The sequence below is a fragment of the Homo sapiens genome, chromosome 18, assembly GCF_000001405.40.
Source record: "Homo sapiens chromosome 18, GRCh38.p14 Primary Assembly".
Taxonomy (NCBI): Eukaryota; Metazoa; Chordata; class Mammalia; order Primates; family Hominidae; genus Homo; species Homo sapiens.
The window spans coordinates 52,784,320-52,808,460 of record NC_000018.10 but is presented as its reverse complement, the minus strand read 5'-3'; the positions used below and the strand labels follow the sequence as shown (position 1 = coordinate 52,808,460).

The following is a 24,141-nucleotide window of genomic DNA, read 5'->3' as shown; positions in this document are numbered from 1 at the left end:
GTTCAATCTATGATATTGAGACTTTTGTGGGTGGGAGGTTGTAGGAAAAAAAAAAAAAGCCAAATCTTGATTGAGTCACTTAGTCAGAATTACAGGCTGTCTACTGGTATGTCACCTATGAAATGCTTCCTAGTGGTTTAGATGTCAAATCACATCATTTGGCAAAAGTCTACCATGAAGGAACAAGGCTCAACATCAAACTAATAATTCTGATTCAAAAATCCAGAACAAGACCTTTTAGACATAGCAATAGATTCAGGTAGATAGTGCCTAAACACTTCCTCCTAACTTGTATATGTGTGCACGTGATTCTACTAGTTCTTATTAGGCACCTAAGCTTGTGAAATCTCATACATAAAGGGAAACTTGCTAGGGAATAACTGCAAAATGAAGGCATCACATTTGATGTGTGGGTTTTAGCAACACAAAGCATTAGCGGTCACAGCAACCCCAGAGCCAAGGCCCCTGAGCCATTTAATGTGGTATCAGTCCGAATTAACACATGAAAGGGGATGAGTTTCAGTTCCCTGGACCAAACGACCAGTGAATGAAATATTTCCCATATGTATCCAGGAGAGATTGAGAGATGAGGTGTATGATTGGATGATCCCTCCCTCATAATAAGAAAACGTAAAATCACATTAAACTCTTTAAATCTGCACCTATGTTAAAGCAGCATTTCGCAAAGAGGATAAACACCTGTTTGCAGTAGAGTTGGTAAAAATATGAAGTATTATATACGGATCTGGTAAAAACCTGTCCAGAGGCAAAAAGAGAAGAATATGGTGGAATTGATTTATTTTAGACTGATATTTATTTCAGACTGATATGTAATGAAAAGCGAGATCCTGAGGACAAAGTTGTAATAATGTTTCTTCTTCCATTAAAGCCTCCAGCATCCTCTTTTTGCTATTCATTACTAAACTAATAGCTGTGCTTTCAATATTGCTGTCATTATTTTAAAACAATCAAGTATGTATGTTTGAATTTATATATACGCAGCTTTCTCTTTGACAAAGTGTGAAATATGAGTGAGTGTATTAATATCACAGGGAGCATATCAGTTTTGCAGTGAACCATACAGTTCACATGTCTGGGAAATGGTTGTATTTTATACTTAGTCATCAGCAATCTAGCTACAGATGTATGCTCAGATGGGGCATCTCACCGTGCTAGAGAGGCAGGAGGCGCAGTGCGTCTAGTATTACCCAGTATAATGCCTATGTGACCTAGGTAAAGTACCACTCCACCTTAACTCTGAATTTTTTTGAGACAGTCTCGCTCTGTCACCAGGCTGGAGTGCAGTGGCGCGACCTCGGCTCACTGCAACCTCCACCTCCCGCGCTCAAGCGATTCTCCTGCCTCAGCCTCCCGAGTAGCTGGGACTACAGGCACGCGCCACCAAGCCCAGCTAACTAATTTTTGTGTTTAGTAGAGATACGGTTTCACCATATTGGCCAGGGTGGTCTTGATTTCTTGACCTCATGATCCACCTGTCTCAGCCTCCCCAAGTGCTGGGATTACAGGCGTGAGCCACTGCACCTAACCAACTCTGCATATCTTTAGGAAACAGGATGCCTGAGGTCAAAAGTTCCCCCTCATGACCAAACTGGCTAAGACTGGTAGGATCCAAGATGGTGGCTCACTTGACTTCTGAAGAACCTCTAACTTCATATTATAATCTAATATTCATACTAAATGACACTCCCACCACTGCCATGATAGTTTACAATCATGACAACCGGAAGAAGCCATAAAGTGACAGAAAGAAAGGTGGCAATTGGTTACAAGAAGTTCTCTACCCATTCCCAGAAAAGACAAATATTCCTCTCCTTTCTTTTAATGCCCAACCACTTCATTAAAGATGCCCTTTATCTGTGAAGTTCTGGCTCTTACAGACTGAGAAGTTTGTGATCCCAGCTTCTGCTTCTCAATTTCATGGCCATCAAATAAAGCCTATGCATTCACTTTCAATTTTGCATATTAGCTTCAGGGCACTAAAAAGGTAAAGACCCTATTTTGGTGAGCACTGGCTTGATGGTAACACTACCAATGTAATAAGTTTGTAGGTAAAAACAAAGACTCACCAACAGTGAACACTAATGTAAACTATGGAATGTGGGTGATAATGATGTATCAATGTAAGTTCATCTATTTTAACAAAAATATCACTACTAGAGCATGGGATGTTGACGGGAGCGAGGTTTACACGTATGGGGACTGGGGTGTATGGGAAGTCTCTTACTTTCTGCCTGGTTTTATAGTGAACCAAAAACTGCTCTAAGAAATAATATCTATTAACTGCAAATAAGATACAGAAATGATCCATCACAGCAAGCTTCTGATTTATTCAAGCCGGTATTATCTAATGGAGGAAATTTCTTACCACTGGTGTCAATGTTAACAGTTAAGGGGTATATTTCAAATATGCCTAAAAGTCCTTCATCACCTTAAACCTCAAGCATGGTAATATCTTCAGTTTGTCTCCTTCAAATGTATCTAAATCATGCTGAAATTAAAATGATTTCTTGGTACAGTGAATTTAAGTGGACTTTCAAATAAAAAGAGGATATTTCAACTAAACACAAAATCCACATGTCAGCTGGTACTGCCTATCTCTTGAGATCCCTTGAAAATTGTCTTAGATCCTCAAGTTGCCCAGATTTCTGAGAATGCGAGGGTGGCTTACATTCTTGAATTCCCTTCTACTTCCAGTTATGTATTTCTGGTTTAAGTCATGGTAATCCATATAGAATATGAAACATTCATTTCTAGTATTCATTTGTGGTAGACTTTACTGAAAGTAGTTTCTTTGGTAGACTTTAAATCAAGGTAATGTAAACAATTTTAAATTAACAATGTATGTCCCATTTTTAAAATATCTTTCTATAACCTGTGGAAGAATTTTACCTGGCTGTCCAGCACATATATCCTCACCTCATCCTACCTCTCTGGCTCTTCTCTCTCCTCCCTACCTTCTCCATTCGTCTCTTATTTCCTTCCTTTTTGTGAGCAAAACAAAAATTCATATAATTTTTTTTATCTAGACCATCTAACCTTCTCCTTTTATAGCTTGGTCTCCTGTTGACATCTCTGCTGTCAGAGTCACATCTTCCACAAAGGCTTATGAAGATATTCTGACAAAGTTCCTAAGATGACTTTTGGTGCCAGCTGTTAATATACACCTCACTTGGTTATGTAAGCTGACCATTCTTTATCCTGAAACTATTCCATTTGCGTTGAAAGGCACAGAGAGAAGGAAAGCCAGAGATTATACATTGAGTCTCTCCTGCACACTGGGCACTTGTCTAGACATATTTGTATGCATTTTCATGTAAACTTTGCAATAGCTCTGTGAGGCAGCTAGAATTGCTACCCTTAATTGAGAGATGAAGAAGCAAAGGCTCACAGAGATTAAGAAATTTGTTTAAAATTACACATTTAGTGGCAGAGGCTAGACTTGAAAAAAATCTATCCTGATGAAAATATAAAGTTTGTGTATTTTATCTGTTGTCATAAGAAAGAAATATGGACAACTAGAAGAAACACCAGGCATATTTTTTTAAAACGAAATTTTAGGGCCAGGCGCAGTAGGTCATGTCCGTAATCCCAGCACTTTGGGAGGCCAAGGTGGGTGGATCATGAGGTCAGGAGATCGACATCATCCTGGCCAACATGGTGAAACCCCGTCTCTACTAAAAATACAAAAATTAGCTGGGCTTGGTGGCACATGCCTGTAATCCCAGCAACTCAGGAGGCTGAGAGAATTCTCCTGTTCAAGCAGGAGAATCGCTTGAACCAGGGAGTTGGAGGTTGCAGTAAGCGGAGATCGCACCACTGCACTTCAGCCTGGTGACAGAGCAAGACTCCGTCTCAAAAACAAAACAAACTAACAACAACAAAAAACCTGTAGCTTTATGACCTTGGGGGAAATTACCAAACTTTTTTGATTCTTATCTTTTTTTGTCTATAAACCGATGATACTTCTGACCCAGCTGAGCTGTTTTAAGGATTCAACGATACAATGTAGATGAAACTATTTCATAAGTTGAAGTTTTATTTAATGAAGAACAACAGATTTTGGTCATGAGTGGCCTGGCTTTAAATCATGGACCTTTTCTGTTATTTACAAATGGTATGATATTGACCAATTTATGTACTCTCTAAGCCCCAGTTTCTTCCTTCGTTAAAAAGAAATCATGAGAACTAAAGTTGTATACACTAAATAAGATGAAGAATGTAAAGTGTTTAACAGAATGTGACACATGGTAAGATATAAATACATTTAATGATTTGTTTTGGTTTTAGTGGTGCCATTTAAAAAATATTGGAGGTAAAAATTGTGATTCTTCCTCTTCAAGGTGGCCCACACACATTGTACAGGGGCCAGGTTATCAATCTACCCTACATGCCACCACTGGCACCCACACACATCACCCAGACGCCCGAGTCCAGGTGCAGCCTTCGCACCACCACCACCATGCTGGTGCCCAAGGACTGGCCCATCTGGTGCTGCATCCCCAGCAAAACGTCATCACATATGTAAAAATGAGGATTAAAAATATCTATTTCATCGTGTTGTTTTGATGATTAAATAAAATGCTGGCATTTACTTAGTTAATATTAGGTCATTACCTATTCTTTTACAAACTCCTGGAGAGGTCCATGAGTGTGTGGATTGAATGAATGTGTTGTTTCTCTAAGGCAAATTATATAAAGAACTGACTCTTGAGCAACCTAGGTGTGAATTGTGAGGCTCCACTTATATGTAGAGATTTTTTTCAATAGACATTTTGGAAACTTTTTTTGGAGATTTGCAATAATTTGAAAACCTTGCAGACAAACCGTGTAGCCTAAATATAAAGTAAAACTAAGTTATACTCTAAATGTATATAATATATAGGTACTAGTCTATTTTATCATTTACTACAATATACACAAATCTAGTATAAAACAGTTAAAATGTGCACAGACAGTACATGGCACCGTTCACAGTAGAGAGAAATGTAAACAGAATGCAGCATTAACTAATAAATGCATAAAATTAACTGTAGTACACATTGTACTACTGTGATAATTTCATAGCCACCTCCCATTGTTACTGCAGTGAGTTCAAGTGTTGTGAGTATCCACTTAAAATGCCGTGTGATGCTCATCATCTCCACAGAGCAGTTCATCTCTTCAATAAATTGTTTATCATGGAAAAAGTGATCTCTTGCAGTTCTTGTATATTTTTCATAGTGTTTAGTGCAATATTGTAAACCTTGAATAACACCATGGGACCCATACGAAGTGCCACTAGTGATGTTCAAAGTGTTCCCAAGAGGCAGAGACAAGTCATGACATTACAAGAAAAGGCCGAATTGTTTGATATGTACTGTAGATTGACCTCTGCAGCTGCATTGCCCACCACTTCAGACAGATTATTCATCTTGTCAACACATGATATAAACCTACAGTATTAATCAGTACTTTAATAAATATATTTTCTCTTCCTTATGGTTTTCTTTATAACATTTTCTTTACTCTGGCTTACACTGTTGCAAGAATGCAATATATAACAAATATGCAAAGTATGTGTTAATCAACTGTTTATGCTAGTTATTAGCAAGGTTTCTGGTCAACAATAGGCTATCAGTAGTTAAGATTTTCAGGGCTGGGCTACAGTAGCGCCTGTCTGTAATCCTTACACTTTGGGAGGCTGAGGCTAGAGGATGACTTCAGCCCAGGAGTTCAAGACCAGTCCAGACAACACAGTGAGACCCTGTGTCTCCATTAAAAAAAAAAAAAAAAAAAAAAAAAAAAAAAAAAAAAAAAGGCTTGGCGTGGTGATGTGTACCTGTGGTTCCGATTACTCAGAAAGCTGAAACAGGAGGACCACTTGAGCTCAGGAGACTGAGGCTGCAGTCAGTCGGCCCTGTTCATGCCACTGCCCTGCAGCCTGGACAAGAGAGTGAGACCTTGTCTCAAAAAAAAAAAATTGCTGGGAGTAAAAAGTTATATATGGGTTTTTGATTGTGTGGGGGTTGGCATGGCTAACCCTGTTTTGTTCAAGGGTCAATTACGTACAGTTATATATATACATGTATATGTATATATACAAAAACACACACCTTAAATTCCTTCTGTAGCCTAATCTTGATTCCAAAACTCTCCTCCAGATTGCTACTCTGGCAATAGCAATATTAAACGGTAGATACTAAAACCTAAAGAGCTAGAGATAACTTTCTCCAACCTACTGCCTCATCTGTATGGCTCAGGGGTGGTCTTCCTAATTTGACTATCTTGAAGTAAATGATTCAGAAGCAATTTGACACAGGTATAATTTTCATTCTGTATCTTATTGCCATGCTATAGTACTATTTGCCAACTGTCATCCCTTAGAGCAGTAATACTGTGTTACTGCTCAGAGGGATGTTGATAAAAAAAAGAAGGGAATGGTTAAAAAAAAAAAAAGAATAGAATAATGCAATGCAAAATAACTTGGCTTAAAACCCTTGAGGTGATTCATAGACACATCTGGCTTAACTTCTGCATGTCTAAAGGGTCACTGATTTTTTGAACAGACAAGCACATAGAGAAAAAAAGCAGGCATATTGCATGTTTTATATTCTTTATAGTCTCAGTGACAGAGATACATGTGCTACAAATCAGGGCAATTTGGAATCTAGTTTAAAGCCTAATTACAGCATTTTACAAACAGTTCCATAGAATACCACTGTCATGTAAGATGTTAACAGATACTCTGCAAAATGAAGGGGTTCCTAGATTCCAAATTTGAACGTGGCTTATAACCTTCTTTCCCTTCTGTAAGATTCAAAATATACTTTACTGCATTCAAAACTTTGAGAAGTCCAAGAGGATAAATGGTTGTATGGATAGAAACATAGATAGACTTTTAATTATTATTTTGTCTTGCATTTTCTGCATTTATTTGACTAAGGCAATCTTCTTTTGGAAATTTTTAATGTTTTGTAAAATGATTAACCCCTTTGTGAGGCAATTTTTTTTTCACCCATAAAGAAAAACTAATACTCATCCTTCATTGTTATTGTGAAAATTGAGTTAATCCATATAAAACATTAGAATAGGCTTTGTTACAATTAAGTCCTCCATACGTGTGAGCTGTTGTTACTGTTGTAGTTGTGGTTATGGTTATCACTAAAAGACATGACTTCTTGAAGAGGGTGGTTTGAGAATTACAATAGAAGCTGTGGCAAATTCTAAAAATGGTAGTAACCTCTTCCACTCTCATCATAGGGAAGAGTGTACTTCTATAATTCTTAAGCCTCAGCTGAATTTGAGATGGGTTTTGACCAGTAGAATGTAGCAGAAGCCACATTGAAAGTTCCAGCCCAGGACTCAAGAGACAGACCTTGCACACTGAGACTCTCACTCTTGGAACCCTGCAATCTCCATGGGATTTCAATGCAAACAATTCCAAGCTAGCCTGCCAGAGGATGAGACTACCTGAAGAAAGGCTCCTATCTCTCTAACAAGGCTATTGTCAATGATGCACCCTGCCAATACGCCAGCTTATAGTAGGTGCATAATTATACCAGTCCAGCTGGCCCAGACCAGTAGAATTACCCAGTGAATTATGAATAAAATAAATAGATGTTTTAAGCCACAGCGTCTAAGGTAGTTTGCTGTGCAACAATAACTGATACATCAGGGAGAAAAAAGAAAACTTCTCTTGCTTTTACTCTACTATACTCTGCAGCCTCTCAGGAACCAATTGTACTTATGAAAACAAGGTGATACGTTAACACAATGTACATTTTGCTACTTATGAGAAGTCACTGATTCATAAGTATGCAACATCTGTTTGGTGTTGAAAATGCTATCACACAAAGATTATTTTTTATCTGCATCTAACCTCACCGTCAACACCATTTTCAACTGAGAAGGATAGCAATCTATGTACTGCCAGACATATTATCATCGTCATATTCACCTATATACCCCAGGAATGATACCCTGAATCAATGAATAAAGAACACATTGAAAGATAAGATGCTGCTCAAATCTCACTGGAAATGTCATTTTGTAGTGCATCTCCCAGTATTTCTTGTTGTAAAAATAGAATACTATCTTTTCTATTCCATCAGTCTGTAAAAACTTCACAGAAGATTCACAATATTGGAATATTCTTTGTTTAATGACTCATTTAAAACATTGAATGTCATATTGCATTTGATTCTGCAGGCATTTTCATCACAGTATTAGCTGGGGAACACTTTGACTTTCAGAACAGATTTTGCTGAAGGTACTTATTGAGTAGGACCCATGGATGCCTTTTCTCACTAGGAACTCTGCAGTAACTAATTTCATTAATTCACTGAACACCACAAGAAAGTGAATACTATCACTATTTATCATAATAAAAGTATAATTTAGAAAAATTATTTAAACTAGTTCAGCAAATGTTTGTTGACAACTACTACGTCTTAAAATTTTGATAGCCATTAGTGATTCAAAGTGAAGAACTACCATCTCTGCCCTTACAGAGTTCCCCGTCAAGTGGAAAAAATGATGTAACTGAAGAACAATTAGAGCTTAAAATATCCACACCCAACAACAAACTAGCCAAACTTGACATTAATCCTGTAAGTGATTCAATTATAATAGGCATTATTATTATATTGCTAGTTATTAACAGATAAAACAAAGTATCAGAAATCAAGCTGCATTAATAGATTGGTGTTTATTTCCTGGCAATTGTTCAGAAATCAATTATGCTGGGCTTTTTGTAGTAACCAACCTAGCACTTGGACACCGAGCCATTTGAGAGAACTTCTAAAATACTGATTCATGGGTGCCAGATGGGCTCCATACAAGTATTTGGAAAGTGGAATTAACTTTAGGTATTTGGGTACAATTGCTGAAATTACTGGATAGAGCCTATCATGATTATGAACATGTGACTTGATATGAGACTGACCTGGTTTTCAATTTTGATTTTGCCCAATTGTAGGTGTGCAATATTAAGCAAGTCACAGATCTTCCCTTTTTTTCACCTTCTCATTTTCATGCTTCCTTGTTACATGTATACCCATGAGCAATAATATATCATGCCACAAAACAAAAATTCTCTTACCTTTGATGAAGTTTATTTCCTTTTTATAAAATGAGGAGTATATTACTCCCCAAATTCCCAAACTTCAAACTATAGCAATCTGAAGCAGTTCAATGCAGGACAACATAAACAACTTCATGGATCATAAGAATGTTAGCTCCGCTGAATGTGTATAAATTAATGGAAGTCTCAAGTAGCCACGGATTAGATGGCTTCTAATTTCAGAAGAAAATCTTTAGAAATATGTCTATATGTATTAAGCATCACAAGAACATTTCATGTGAGTTTGTAATAGTTCCTGTTTTATTTCAAACATTAATAAAACACACATAAGGCTGGCCACGGTGGCTCACGCCTGTAATCCCAGCATTTTGGGAGGCTGAGGTGGGTAGATTGCCTAAGGTCAGGAGTTCGAGACCAGCCTGGCCAACATAGTGAAACCTCATCTCTACTAAAAATATAAAGAATTAGCTGGGCGTGGTGGCAGGCACCTCCCAACTACTCGGGAGGCTGAGGCAGGAGAATTACTGGAACCTGGGAGGGGGAGGTTGCAGGGAGACAAGATCCCACCATTGAACTCCAGCCTGGGCAACAAGAGTAAAACTCCACCTTAAAAAAAAAAAAGATACAAAACTTCATACGAATGGTTTGGGGCTCTAAATACAGCTTTTCCACCTCACTGCATTCTCCTTTGCCTTATTGTTTTTCCTACTCACCCTTTTCAGGTTTTTTTCCTAGCCTAACTAGCCTCACAGACACAGTTATAAATAATCTTTGGCCAATTAGAGTAGCTTCCTTTCAACTCAGAAAGTATTTGGATTTTTATTTTTTAACAAAGAAAAACACCTCTAATTGTATTAGAAAGTTCCTCTGCAGGGGGCCAGGTGCAGTGGCTCATGCCTGTAATCCCAGCATTTTGGGAGGCTGAAGCAAGAGGATCACCTGAAGTCAGGAGTCAGAGGGCAGCCTGAGCAACAAAGTGAGACTCTGTCTTTAAAACATTTTTAAAAAGAAAAGAAACTTCCTCTGCAGTCTCTCTGGATCAGCCAAAGACTAGTCTGCTACTTCTACCACTCAGTAAGGAAATGTTTTCCAAATTTTTGTTTTCTCTACTCTATTAAAGACATATAAATCTTAAGATATAGCCTGATATTAAGTCACTTAAAAATTATGTATTGCAAAGCTTGCCTTGCCATACACATTGTTCGAGGCCTGGGTATTGACAGACCCTATCTGATACTGATGGTTGCCCTATGCAACATCTCATTAGGTACCAGAGGAAGAAGCTGCTATGTGTAGCCTTTGTGCAAGCAACCTTCGTGCAAGCAACCTTCGTGCAAGCAACCTGGCATCTGGGGATTAATCTTCCCTGCCCTCCAAAGGCACCATATGGAGGTCTAACAGGTCCAGTGCACCCACCACCACCAGTGGTGCCTGAGAACAGGCCTGCCTCACACACCACTGCAACTGCTATTGCCCACATGTGTTTTATGCGGCTTGAGAACCAGCCAGCCTTTCCCATTGCCACTGCCACCTGCATGTGAATGTACTGTCCGGGGACCTGGCCCCATCCATCACAGCCAGCAGCTACATATACCACTGGGGGTTCCATCCCACCCATCACCACTGCTGCCAGCACCCATACAAATTGTACAGGGCAGAGTATAAGTTCAACCTACCTACCACTGCTGGTGCCTGCACACACCATCCAGAGGCCTGAGGTCAGACCCAACATTTGTACTGCTGCCAAACTGGTGCACAAGAACTAACCCAGCTGATGTTCCCACCCCCATCAAAGTCTTACCACAACCTCCATTAACAATTGCAGTCTAAGCCACTTAGGTACTTCCAGATATCGCTGACACTGAATATAACTGAAGTCATACAAAGACTACACTGCTATACCCATCCAAAATCAAAGCCAAAGCAACTTACTTAACCAATACTATAATACATCTGTAGGAAAATATCTTTCCTTACAAAGGCCTATCCATAAAATTGGAAGAAGCAGCTATTACACCAGATGTGCAGATATTAACATAAGGACACAAGAAACAAAAAAAGGAAACATGATGCCTCCAAAAGAACAAAATAATTCTTCAATAACAGATCCCCAAAACAGGAACTTTATCTTGAATTCCTTATTAGAAATTTTATGATGAGAAATTCAGTGAAATATAAGAAAACACCAACAATACAAATAAATCAGAGAAACAATTTATGCTCTAGATGAGAAATTCAAAAAAGAAACAGATATGTTAAGAGCACCAAAAGTCCTAGAACTGAAGAAATCAAAGAAATAAAAAAATACAAGTGTCAATAGGCTAAGCAAAATAATTTTTCTAATAATGCAGGCAGAAGAAAAAAAAAAGGAATGAATGAAGAAAGCCTATGTGACCAGTAGGATGCCATAAAATGACCAAAATTTTAAATGAATTCTGGAATTTCCCAAAGGAGAAGAGATGGGCAAAGGCATAGAAAACCTATTTAATAAAAATAGCTAAAAACTTCCCAAGTCTTGAAAAACATATAGACATCTAGATAGATGAAGCTCAAAGATCCCCAAATAGGTTCAATTCAAAAATGTCTTCTCCAAGCCACATTATTGTCAAACTGTCAGAGACAATGACAGAATTCTAAAAACAGCAAGAGAAAAAGCATCAAGTCACATAAAAGGGAACCTCCATCAGACTAACAGTGGACTTCTCAGCAGAAATCATGCAGGTCAGGAGAAAATGGAATGACATATTCAAAATGCTTTATAAAACAAGTACCTTTTAGCCAAAAATACTAGACCCAGCAAAGGTATCTTTCAAAAATGAAGGAAAAATAAAGTCTTTCCCAGACAAGCAAAAGCTGAAGCAATTTGTCACCAATAGACTGGTTCCTACAAAAAATGTTTAAAATAGTCCTACATCCAGAAGTGAAAGGATAATATCTACCATCATGGAAATACATGAAAGTATAAAACTCACTGGTAGACTAGATACACAAATGAGAAAGAGAAAGGAATCAAGTGTTACCATTCTGAAAATCACCAAACCATGATGATAAACCATAAGAAAATAACAAATGGTATATAAAACACCCAGAAAACTAACAAAATGACAAGAGTAAGTCCTCACTTATTAATAAGCTTGAATGTAAGCAGAATTCCCCAATTAAGAGATGTAGACTAGATGAATGCATTTAAAACAATGACTCAGCTATATGCCACCGATAAGAAACTAACTCCACCTATAAAGACCGATATAGATTTAAAGTGAAGGGATAAAAAAAGATATTCCATGTAAATGGAAACCAAAAGCAGAAAAAAAAAAGTAACTGTACCTATAGAAAACAATTTAAATGAAAAACTGAAGAGACAAGGTCATATATTGAAAAATAAATCATATTAGCAGGAGGATATAGCAATAGAATAAGACAAGTTTTATTCTATATTGATTCAATAACATTATTGAACAATATTTAATAGAAAGAATATTGAAAACTGTACAACTACATGGAAATTAAATAACATGGTCCTGAGCAACTATTGCATCAATGAAGAAATTAAGGAAATAAAATGTCTTGGAAAAAATAAGAACGAAAAACAGTATGCCAAAACCAATGGAATGTAGCAAAAGCAGTGCTAGAAGGAAGTTTATAGCAATAAATGACATCATAAAAGTGGACAGATTTCAAATACACAACCTATCAATGCACCTTAAGGAACTAGAAAAAATAAGAAAACAGAACAAAATTAGCAGAAGAAATGAAATAACAAAAATTAGAGAACTAAAAACAGACTAAATGAAAAACATTGCCAAGAACCAATAAAACAAAAACTTGTTTTTCTGAGAAGGTAAAATTTTTAAACTGCTAGCTAGATTAACCAAGAAAAAGAGAAGACCCACATAAGTTAGAAATGAAAAAGAAGGAATTACAACTGATACAACAGAAATAGAAAGGATCATTAGAGACTATTAATAACTCTATGCAAACAAATTAGAAAATCTAGAGGAAACATTCCTAAACGCATACAACCTACTAAGACTGATCTAGACAGAAATAGAAAACCTAACAAATTAATAATGAATAATAAAATTGAATCAGAAATCAGGTGCGTCCCAATAAAGAAAAGTTCAGGACTGAATGGCTTTAATTCTGCATTTTATCAAATGTATGAAGAACTAACACAGATTATTCTCAAACTATTACAAAGATTAAAGAGGAGACAGTTATTCCTAACTCATTCTACAAGGCCAGAATTACCCTGATACCAACACCAGACAAAGATTTTAAAAAAACACAAAAACCTACAGGCCATTTTTTCTGATCAATACAGATGCAAAAAACCTTAACAAAATATTAGCAAACTTAATCCAACAACACATTGAAAAGATAATACATCATGATTAAGGGGGATTTGTCTCAGGGATGCAAGGATGGTTCCATGTACATAAATCAATACATGAGATACACCACATCAATAGAAGAGGGACAAAAATCATATGATCTTCTCAACAGGCATCAAAAAGATAAAATTCAATACCTCTTCATGACAAAAACTCTCAACAATAAAAAGAAGGTATTTCAAAATAATAAAGAAAGACCATATATATGACAAACCCACAACACAGCTAACATCGTACTTAATGGAAAAAAAGTTGAAAGCCTTTCCTTTAACAACTAAAAGACAAGGATGCCCACTTTCACCACATTTATTCAGCATAGTACTGGAAGTGCTAGCACAGCAATCAAGCAAGAAAGAAATAAAAGGCATCCAAATTGGAAAAAGAAAGAACAATCATCCCTCTTTGCAGACAACATTATCTTATGTATAGAAAAACCTAAAGACTCCACCAAAAAACTCAGAACTGATAAATTCAGTAAACTTGTAATATACAAAAACAACATACAAAAAGCAGCACTCCTATATACCAATAACAAACTAGATTTTAAAAATGAAGGACGTGATCTCATTTATAATAGCTACCAAAACACCACCTAGTAATAAATTTAACCAAGGATGCAAAAGACTTCTACAACTACAAAAAAAATGATGAAAGAAATTGAAGACACAAGCAAACGTAAACACATCACATGCTCAAAGATTGAAGGAATCAATATTTTAAAATAGCCATCCTTCCCAATGCCACCATAGTACTACAGATTCAAGAGACATAATGCAATCCCCATCAAAATACCAACGACGTTCTCAAGAGAAATATAAAAAAAAACTAAAATTTATGTGGAAACACAAAAGATTCTGAATAGCCAAAGCAATACTGAGCAAAATGGAAAAAGCTAGAAGCATCATACTACCTAACATATACTACAAAGCTATAATAACCAAAACAGTATGGTATTAGAATAAAACACATAGACCAATGGCACAATATAAAACCCAGAAATATAGATTAATAGAAAACCGAGAAATTAATCCTCCTATTTACAGCCAACTGATTTTTTAAAAAAGGCACAAAGAGAATACCTTGGAGAAAGAATACCCTCTTCAATAATGATGCAGGGAAAACTAAGTGCTCACAGGCAGAAGAATGAAACTACACCCGTATCTCTTGCCACATACAAAAATCAACTCAAAATGGTTAAAGAGTTAAACATAAGACTCAAAAACATAGAACTACTGGAAGAAAATATGAGAAATGCTTCAGGAAATTGGTCTAGGCAAAGATTTTATGGCCAAGACTTTATAATACAGGCAACAAAACCAAAATAGATACATGAGACTACATTAAGCTAAAAAGCTTCTGCACACCAAAGGAAGCAATCAACAGAGTGAAGACACAACATGCAGAATGAGAGAAAATATTTGTAAAATATTCATCTGACTAGGGATTCATATCTAGAATATACAAAGAACTGAAACAACTCAACAGCCAAAAAACAAATACTACTGATAAAGGAGTTAAGAAATAACTTAAGCAGATGGTAAGGGTATGGGAGTCTTCAGTAAGGCTTTTCTCTTTAATAAAAAGCAGCTTCAAATCATTTTCTAATAAATAGCCTGTAAAGTTGAGCCTCAAAGACAAGCAAGCTGGGAGCTTGCAGAAGTGAATGCCAGCAGGAACTAGGACTAGACATGTTCAAGGTGGTGGCTCCATCTTCCCTTCTCTTTGTCAGCCACTTGTACAATAAAGAACAGACAAGATGGTGCCAATCAACCGGAAAGTCCATTTGCATAAGATTAGGGTGGGGTGACAATCCTTCCCCATGGGCTATGTAAACATCATATGTGATCAAACCAATCTGTGGGTCCTACATAAATCAGACACCACCTTCTCCAACCTGCCTATAAAATCTGCTGCAGTCTGCCACCACACCTCTTTATCAGAGGTCTCTCACACACAAGAGCTCCTCTCTCCTTTCTTCTATTAAACTTTCCACTCCCTAACCCACCCACATGTGTCTGTGTCCTGACTTCTTTCTAAAAGAAAGGGATCAGAAGGTAGAATCATGTGAGTGGTAAATATGGAGAAAAACCTCAAAATCTGTCCTTTAATTGGAATTGAATCAACCCGAATGGAATGGAATGGAATGGAATAGAATGGAATAGAATGGAATTGAATCAACTGGAATGGAATGGAATGGAATGGAATGGAATGGAATAGAATGGAATAGAATCAACTGGAATGGTTGCCTCAGCCTCCATTTTAAAATCAAATTAAATCAATAACAGGCATCTGCCAGCCATTTAAAAATACCATTAGCATGCCTGCCATTCTTAAAGACTCGGATGTCACACCTACTGGAGAGAACATGGAGAATCCCCCAATACCTATGGGTTTCTGGGCATATGGCATATGGGCCATGTTTGAACCAGCCTCCTTTCATGGAAGACGTAGCCATTGTATGGGGCTGGAAGAAGTCCTGGGGCAACTGAGAACTTCTGGCTGGGGCTACCCCTGAGTGTTACCCAAAGGCTTATGGACTGACCTCGGCCTCTGACCACCCTGGTGGGGTGTTGGCAACAGGATCTCCAACTTTCCTATCATAATTTCCTCCTTTCTCGTCCATGACCATCACATCTCTTAATCTCTCTATGTATGCAATGTGTAGGAAGTTTTACAATTCAGGGAAATAATCTTGTTTGGAAAGATCTGGGAATGTTGTAGTAACTGTGGATATAGCTCAAAGGTAGGCATCTTTGGGATTTTCTAGGAACAGAGGCCCCCACCCTCGCACCCCCCACAGTGAGCATCACTCTCTGCCCTTGGTCTGGAGAGTTCATGGCATTTCAAGGTCAACAGCACCAACTAGTGGAATAGGTACTCTCTCCATGAGGCACATTGTCAGTCCTTTATCAAAACACCCTGGCTTCCCAATTCTTTGCCCTTATTGCACCCCTCTTCTAGAGACCAGGCTTTATGTTGCTTCTGCAAATGGGAAAACTCTACCTTCAACAATTAAGAGCAAAATATCCTCCAAAGCCAGATTTTAGTGTCAATACTATCCCATCAGCAGGAAAATGGCCATTTGATACCTACTTTCTTTTAAGGCACGTATTCTGCTTCCATTTAGAATAGTACTTAATTAGTAAGGGTATTTTAAGTTTGGAAGTTAACTGGAACCATTCTCTAAGGGTAGATGCTTTAACACGAACCATACTAGCAGGATATAGAGCTCAAATCAGCACACTTCCTCCATCAAGGAGGAAAGTGCAACAGATGCTTAAATGCAACTGTCACATAATCTCTCCTGAGATACATTTTTTGAGGAGTCAGGCAGGTTACACAAGTCCAGGAAGTCAAAGCAAAATCACAAGCAGAGGACTAGAGCCACTTGGGTGAGCATTACTAACCCCAATGGCTTAGTTCCTCTGGTTCTATGGCTGAGGGTCATGCCTGCAGCCACGGTTGGTGATGCCAGGACCCAGGAACCATTTAGGAAAAAAACAAAAAAAAAACAAAACACAAAAAACAGCAGGGGGAACGCCTCCACTGTCTTCCTTTCCACTCTGGGTCACACCAAAAGGAAGGAGACTAAACAGATGCCTTTTTCTCACTTCTCTTTCTAGATGGGTATCATCTTCAGCATGCACTCCCCTGGGGTGCATTCTGAAGCACTGGAACTCCTTTCACCCTGAGATTTTAAAGAAAAAGTGGCTTGTTTTCTTCTACATAAGGGCATTGCCTTTTTGCTAGACCTTTGCAAGCATTGCAAAATCAGCCCGGCTCTTTTAGCAATCATATCAGACAGGCACAGAGAGAATTCCCCAAAATTAGAAAAGCAACTCCTGGGGGAACCATTTGAGGCAGCCATTGAGCATCCTGGCCCTTTCATTCCCCATTATCTGGGGCCAGCTCCAACCACACCACCAGCTCCTCCATCTCCACCATCTCCAAAATTTCCCATTCCGCCACCTTAGCTCTTAACCCTGCAGAAAATGTCCAATGGAGGTGATGCCACGAGGGTTCAACTTCCATTCTCATTGCAGGACCTTAGGCAAGTAAAGGGAGACTTAGGCCAATTTTCTAATGACCCTGATAGGTATATAGAAGCTTTCTAAAATTTAACTCAGATATTTGACTTCTCATGGAGGGATGTTATGCTGCTCCAAAGCTTAACCCCAACTGTAGGTGAAAAACAGGCAATTCTGCAGGCAGCAGAGAATTTTGGAGATGAGCAATATGTCTCCTATAACAGGCAAAAAGGGAAAAGAGAAAATCGGGAAGGTGAAGAAATAGGGGAAACACCACTGTTGATAGGAAAGGAAGCAGTACCTCTTTGACAACTCTGATATCCCAGACTTTTGTATGGTGTGGTTCCTTCTTTTACGGTATAAAATGGCTATCTTTTTTTATAATGTTCTTCCAACCTGGGAAATGTTAATTTTCCAAACCTTAAAATGCTTCTCTAGTTGAGCTAGGGGGAAGGGAACCCAGAAGCCTGACATGCCAGCAAAAGGGTAGAAATTTCTTACCATTCAGGCTTTTGGCCTCTCTCTTCCCATGCAAACTGGTAAAAGAGGTAACAAGGATCATTGTTTATATTATCTGTAAAGTTTAAATTAATGAAAAGGGATTTGTGAGGTTAGTCTTAAGCTGTAGCAAATCTGGTGTGCTTTGTGTGTCTTTCTGTCAAAAGAAAACATATGTTAGGCTAGGATGCAGACCCAGGATCCCATAAGCCTCCTGTTCATGCCAGCCCAACAAAACAGTCTATAACAAACTTGGCTACAGGCTTCCATATTGTTTCATGTCTTTGGGAGCAATACCTGTAACCACGTGGCAATACTTTTAGTCTCCACCATTTTACAGTGGTGGGTATCTTCCTGTGCTAAGTCAGTTCCTGGGTGAGGGCCAGAAAATCAGATAAGTTAGTTTGTTGATCTAGGTGGTACCAGCTGATCTATCAATGACAGTGTTTACAAAATACCTTAAGCTCTGATCTTGAGAGCAGTTAAGGGAGGGTCAAAATTTTGTAGCCTTCAGCTGCGTGACTCCTGAGCCATGGTTCCTGATCTTGTGGCTAGTTTCTTGGTCTGGTCCCCAGACAAGAGGGAAGTATATCTTCAGAAGGGGCTATTATCTTTGTTTTGGACTATAAACTGTAAACCAGGCTCCTCCCAAAGTTGGTTCAGCCTACACTCAGGGATGGGCAAGGATAGCTTAGGGGCTGGAAACAAAATGGAGTTGTTTGGGTCAGATCTCCTTTACTGTCTCAGTCACAATTTTGCAATGACAGTTTCAAAAGCTGCTTACCACCACTTTGAAAATACCTTGTACACTCATGGTTAAGTCACAAACTAACTCAGGCTTGTTGGTTTCACCTGTGAGGTTACTTTTTATAAAGTTCAAAAGCTGAAAATCTTAACTGCTTAGCGTGGCTAAAGTTGAGTAACAAGAGATTTAAAATAATTTTCTTAAAGAGTGCTCAGCTTAATTCAAAGCAGATATCCAAGTTCTAGATTTTTTTTAAAAGGCCTTTATGTTTGTCTCTTCTTGAATCTTGCTTTCCTAGAAAAAGCCTTTTCTTCTCAGTCAACTGAATCATTTTTCTCCATTTTTTGTCTTGCCACTCTTAATGTACACATGAGAGGCCCTAAGACAACTTCTGGTAGCCTGGAACTCCTTGGGAAAAAAACAGAGGTGACACCACAAACTCTCTTTTGAGAAAAAACCTGTTTTTCTCACAAAACCCCAGGAATTAAAAGCAGATAATTCCCTCTCAAAACCAAAGGCTTTGCTGTTTTTCATTGTGTTATCTGACAGTTTTGAGTTTTAGAGGTACCAAATTACCTCGCATCATGATAGAGCTTTAGTGTGGGGAATAACTAGAGAGAAAACATACTTTAAGGGATGTCTAATCGTAGTTACGGAAGGATAGTTAACTCTTTGCACTTTTGAATCAGAGAAGCATACTCTTGGTCACCTGAAACATACAAACTTCCCCACTCCCCCAAGAGATAAGAATCATGTGGGGGTTGGGCTGATTACAAAATAAGCTGAATGGATTTGGGTTGCCTTGCAATGAAATGCATGGTAAAATTACCATACTCTCTTCTCCCATAGGCTCTCCCTCCTTTTGGGGATCCAAAATCCATTATAAAACGGCACCAATATTTTTGGGGGGTCTGTCTTTGCCTTCAGCTGTGCCTGTTTTTTATGCCCTAGAAATGCATGCCTTCCTGGCCCTGTTCCTCCAAGGGCTCCGCCCTGAAGCCAATAATCCCAATAAGAAACTGGCAAATGAAAAATCATACTAGTTCTGAATTCTGTGTTGCTATATATGTGTTATGCGTAATGTCTACAAAAAGAGCTCTAATTGATTAAAGAAAAATAAGCACTTAAAATATTTTTTAGCTCACATGACTATAATCTTTAAGAAATAAAAATAGCCTTAAGGATTATTGGCAAAATGCAAGTGTCGTCAAAATGCAAAAAGGTGGTCTTAATCATACCACTTAGATACTAGGCTTGCTAAATGTTCCAAGGTTGTATACTGCATGCTTTACAGATAGGTAAGGCCTGGGACATGTGGAGTCAGACCTACTCTGCAATTCTGTCTGGTTCCTAGGCTCCACACCTGATACATAAAGTTGCTTACTAACCAGGTTTTTCATTAAAAGTTGCAAAGAGTTAACAGTGCAACATGTGTTTGAAATCACTAAACAGTTTTATTTGCAAGGTGTCTTTTAGTAAAAGATTATAAGAAAGCATGGAAATGTAAATTTTGCCCAGGGATGAGGGATTATCTTAAATTTGATATAATAAAGCTAAACACATTTAAGTTGTGAAAAGATTGTAAAAATTAATCTTGCAAAAATGTGTAAACATTAACTAAATTCAAAGGGTATTATATGGTCTTTTTATAAATTGAGCATTGAAATAAAAGCACAGCAAGACTGTCTTAAGACACTAACCTCCTCTTTAGCAAAAGCAGTTATAAAAGGCTTGTACAGATTTCACCTCATGTTCAACTTGGTTAAGATTATATGAAATTGTCTGAGGTTTCATTAAACATTGGGGTTAACATTAATAAACTAATGCAAGGGTAAAAATTTGGCTTTTAACAGGATTTTCATGCAATAGTAAAGGCTAATAAAAGATTTTTGCTTTTTGAGTCATCATTTTGGCAAAATAAATAATTTATGGTAATCTGGGATTCTATTTCATAACATCAAGTGTTTTAAATCTCTAACATTTAACAGGCATCCCAAAAATCAAACTTCTAGTATCCAAATTATCTTCCCTGAGCTGGGATTTCTGGATGGCTCAGAAGGCCCCTGAAACTTTCAGAAAAGAGGTAAACAGGATTATTTGACATGTTTAGTTGCATGGGATTGCCAAAATGATGTACAATTTAAGTTATATTTTAGTGAATAATACTAAGATATGTTCCAACAGTGCATGGGATTTCTAAAATTCTAATGTCTGAGTATATGCTATCAATCATAATTAAGGGTAAAATTATTGTAAACCATGGAGATAACTAAACTTCTTAGTCATGTTTTTAACTAACTACCCTGGAAACTTTGTCACCATTTGCAGACAATTGTCACCTTGCTTTGTTCCTTCTCAAAATGTGGTTTATCATCAAGCCATATTAAGGACCTTAACAGGTGATTGCAAATGCAGGTTTTCAATAGTTTTGAAGATTGTAACATTGGAATAGAGAAAGAATGTATGGGACTTATGAAGAACTGAAATGTTTATGTGTCAAACAAAACAAGAGTTAACTAATGGACTGTACTCAGAAAGTTAAAGCAACCTTTTTGGAATATTTTGCTTGAAGTATTTCTGATCCTTGTTTTGTTTTTTAGACTCAAGGAAACATACTTTTAACTTTTTAAAGCTTTTAATAATTGAGTAAGGTATACTTCTGTGAACAAAATTTGGAGCATGTTTCTCTCTGCCTAGTTCCTCTAGAAATTGGAAACTATCTGTGAGTACTCTTAACTTATGGCAATATAGTTGTTTGCATCATCGCAATAATAATCCATTTTTCTTTTGCAATGGGACACAATTGGAAAACTGGTTATTTTATCAAGGCTTTGACTGGAAGTATATGCTTCCCTTTAAGGAGTCAATCTCGACTTGCAGAGCTGATAAAAGCCCCTTGGGGAAGACTGGCCTCATACCTTGTCTACACAGTCCCCACACAGGGTTCCTAACCTGTGGTCAGTAAAGAATGTCACTTTCTAACAGGTCCACGAACTCCAAGTTTATCTTGGAACATTAAGAGAAAAGGATCACCCAACTCACAGGTATTAGAGAATATAAACCTATGGCCGGGCTCAGCTTTAAAAGGTCCTATCTAAGATTCCTTGTGGAACTGAGTTCCATCTAAGCCAATCCAAAAGAGCTATGTAGAAATAACCATTCTTGCTGAACTTTATTCCAAATAATCAGGCCAAGTATAAGGTTAAAGTTTTTTCTACAAACAACATGGTCCTATCATAATTTGTTTTTTTACCAAAAATGAGGACTGGAGAGATAAAAGTTATGCTCCAAAGCATATCATACATGTCATTAAATCCTTGTCTCACTAATTGTTTTTAAGTTTTTTTGCCTACATTTTAGACTAATCCTGCTTATTCCTGTAATCAAATGGTGATTTCCTGCAGCTTGGAAGAAACAAAAAGGGATGGGTAACACAAAAATCTGGATTAATATGCTAGTTCTGAGCAATTATCCTGCAAATCCTGCCAAGCAGTGAAAGTAAATAGGATGCCCATAACCTGGAGTTTTGTTTAGGAAAATAAAACCAAGGAACTTCATAGACCCCCAAAGATAAATTCTGTATCTTGACAAGTAAGATTTTATGTGGAAAGTACCTACTACACCACACTTGCAAGATTTGCTATACTCACTCTGCTATTTGCAGTAGGGCTATAAACAGTAGCACCTTCTAACTGGAATAGTGGACACAGAGTTTCCATTGCTGTAGTATTTTGCTTAATTATTATCCTTATAGCAGGGATAATAGTTTCACCAAAAAGGAAGTATGAAAGGATTATAAAGATGGTAAATACTTGTCCTAAAAATAATAGTTGGTTGTTTAAAAAGAAGGATGCTTAGGAGAAGTTAGAAAGTTTAAACATGCCTTAGATGGTCTGCAGAAGTCATGAGGGGATTAATAATTGCAGGAAAGATTTAGCCAAGGTCAATACTAAAGTTACTCTAGCCACCCAAATCCAATGCCACTTATTCAAAAAAGAATGTTACTTTTATATTAATATTTAGCAGCATCTGGTGGAGGCAAACCAGTATCACAACCCATTAGAATGATTGAGAGCAATCAAACTGCAAATGGTGCTGCAGACCAAACAAACATGGACACACCTTTCTTCTGAGGACCCTTAGATTGACCCCAGGAGGAGCCCTAGCTGCTTTTCCCCACATGATACCCCTTTCAGCAGGAAGTAGCCAGAAAAAGTTGTCATCCAACATTCTCTAACAGCAGTTAGGGTTACCACTGCAGAGGGTGGAATGATATAGGACTTAAGAAATTACTTAAGCAGAGAGTAAGGGCATGGGAGTCTTTGGTAATGCTTTTCTCTTTAATGAAAAGCAGCCCCAAATCATTTTCTAACAAAGAGCAGCCTATAAAGTAGAGCTGCAGACAGACAAGCAAACTGGGAGCTTGCACAGGTGAATGCCAGCAGTAACTAGGGACTACACATGTTAAAGATAGCAGCTCCATCTTCCCTTCTCTTTGTCAGCCATGTGCACAGTAAAGAGCAAATGGTGCCAATCTTACTGGTGTCAATCAACAGGAATCAAGATGGTGTCGATTAACTGGAAAGTCCATTTACATTCTAGGTTGGGGTGACCAGTCTTCCCTGTGCACTATGTAAACCTCGTGCCTGATCAACCAATCTGTGAGCCCTATGTAAATCAGACACCACCTTCTCCAGCCTTCCTATAAAATCTGCTGCAGTCAACCACCTCCCCACTTTTTTGGACATGTCTCTCTCTCTCTGTCTCTCTCTCTCTCTCCCCCCTTCTCTTCTCTCTCTCTCTCCCCCTCCACCTCCCTAGGACCTGCTCTCCTCTCTCCTTTATTCTATTAAATTTTCTACTTCTTAACCCACTCACATGTGTCTGGGTCCTGAGTTCTTTCTCAGCATGAGACGATGAACCCCAGGGTACATATCCCAAGCAACATAGCCATATCACTATTAAAAAGTGGGTAAACGATCTGAATAGACATTTCTCAAAAGAAGACATACAAATGGCCAAAACATATTTAAAAAATTTTCAATATCAACATCATCAGTCATCACAATGAGAACCACAATGAGAAGATCTTCTCACCTCAGTCAGAATGGCTATTAACAAAAAGACAAAAAATAACAACTGCTGGCAAACATGTAGAGAAAAATTGAACCCGTATATACTGTTCATGGGAATGCAAATCAGTACAGACATTATGGAAAACAGTACAGAAGTTTCTCAAAAGACTAAAAGTAGAAATATCATACAATCCAGCAATCCCACCACTAGGTATTTATCCAATGGAGAGGGAATCGGTACATCAAAGAGATACCTTCACCCCCTATGTTTATTGCAGAACTATTCACAATAGCCAAGATAGGAATCTAAGTACCCATC

General features: G+C 37.8%; 1 protein-coding gene across 4 annotated transcripts in view, besides 1 other annotated feature; it reads right to left on the bottom strand.

Moving 5' to 3' along the window:
• The window catches only part of DCC (DCC netrin 1 receptor), a 1,195,703-nt gene that overhangs the window by 727,439 nt on the left and 444,123 nt on the right, over window positions 1-24,141 (bottom strand). The gene's annotated exons all lie outside the window — the stretch shown is intronic.
• Window positions 204-705: an enhancer, noted in NCBI's record as "NANOG hESC enhancer chr18:50334126-50334627 (GRCh37/hg19 assembly coordinates)". NCBI's record gives its function as "activates a minimal SCP1, AML or CMV promoter by ChIP-STARR-seq in primed H9 embryonic stem cells {active_cell/tissue: H9 hESC(primed)}" and the evidence as "EXISTENCE:reporter gene assay evidence [ECO:0000049][PMID:30033119]".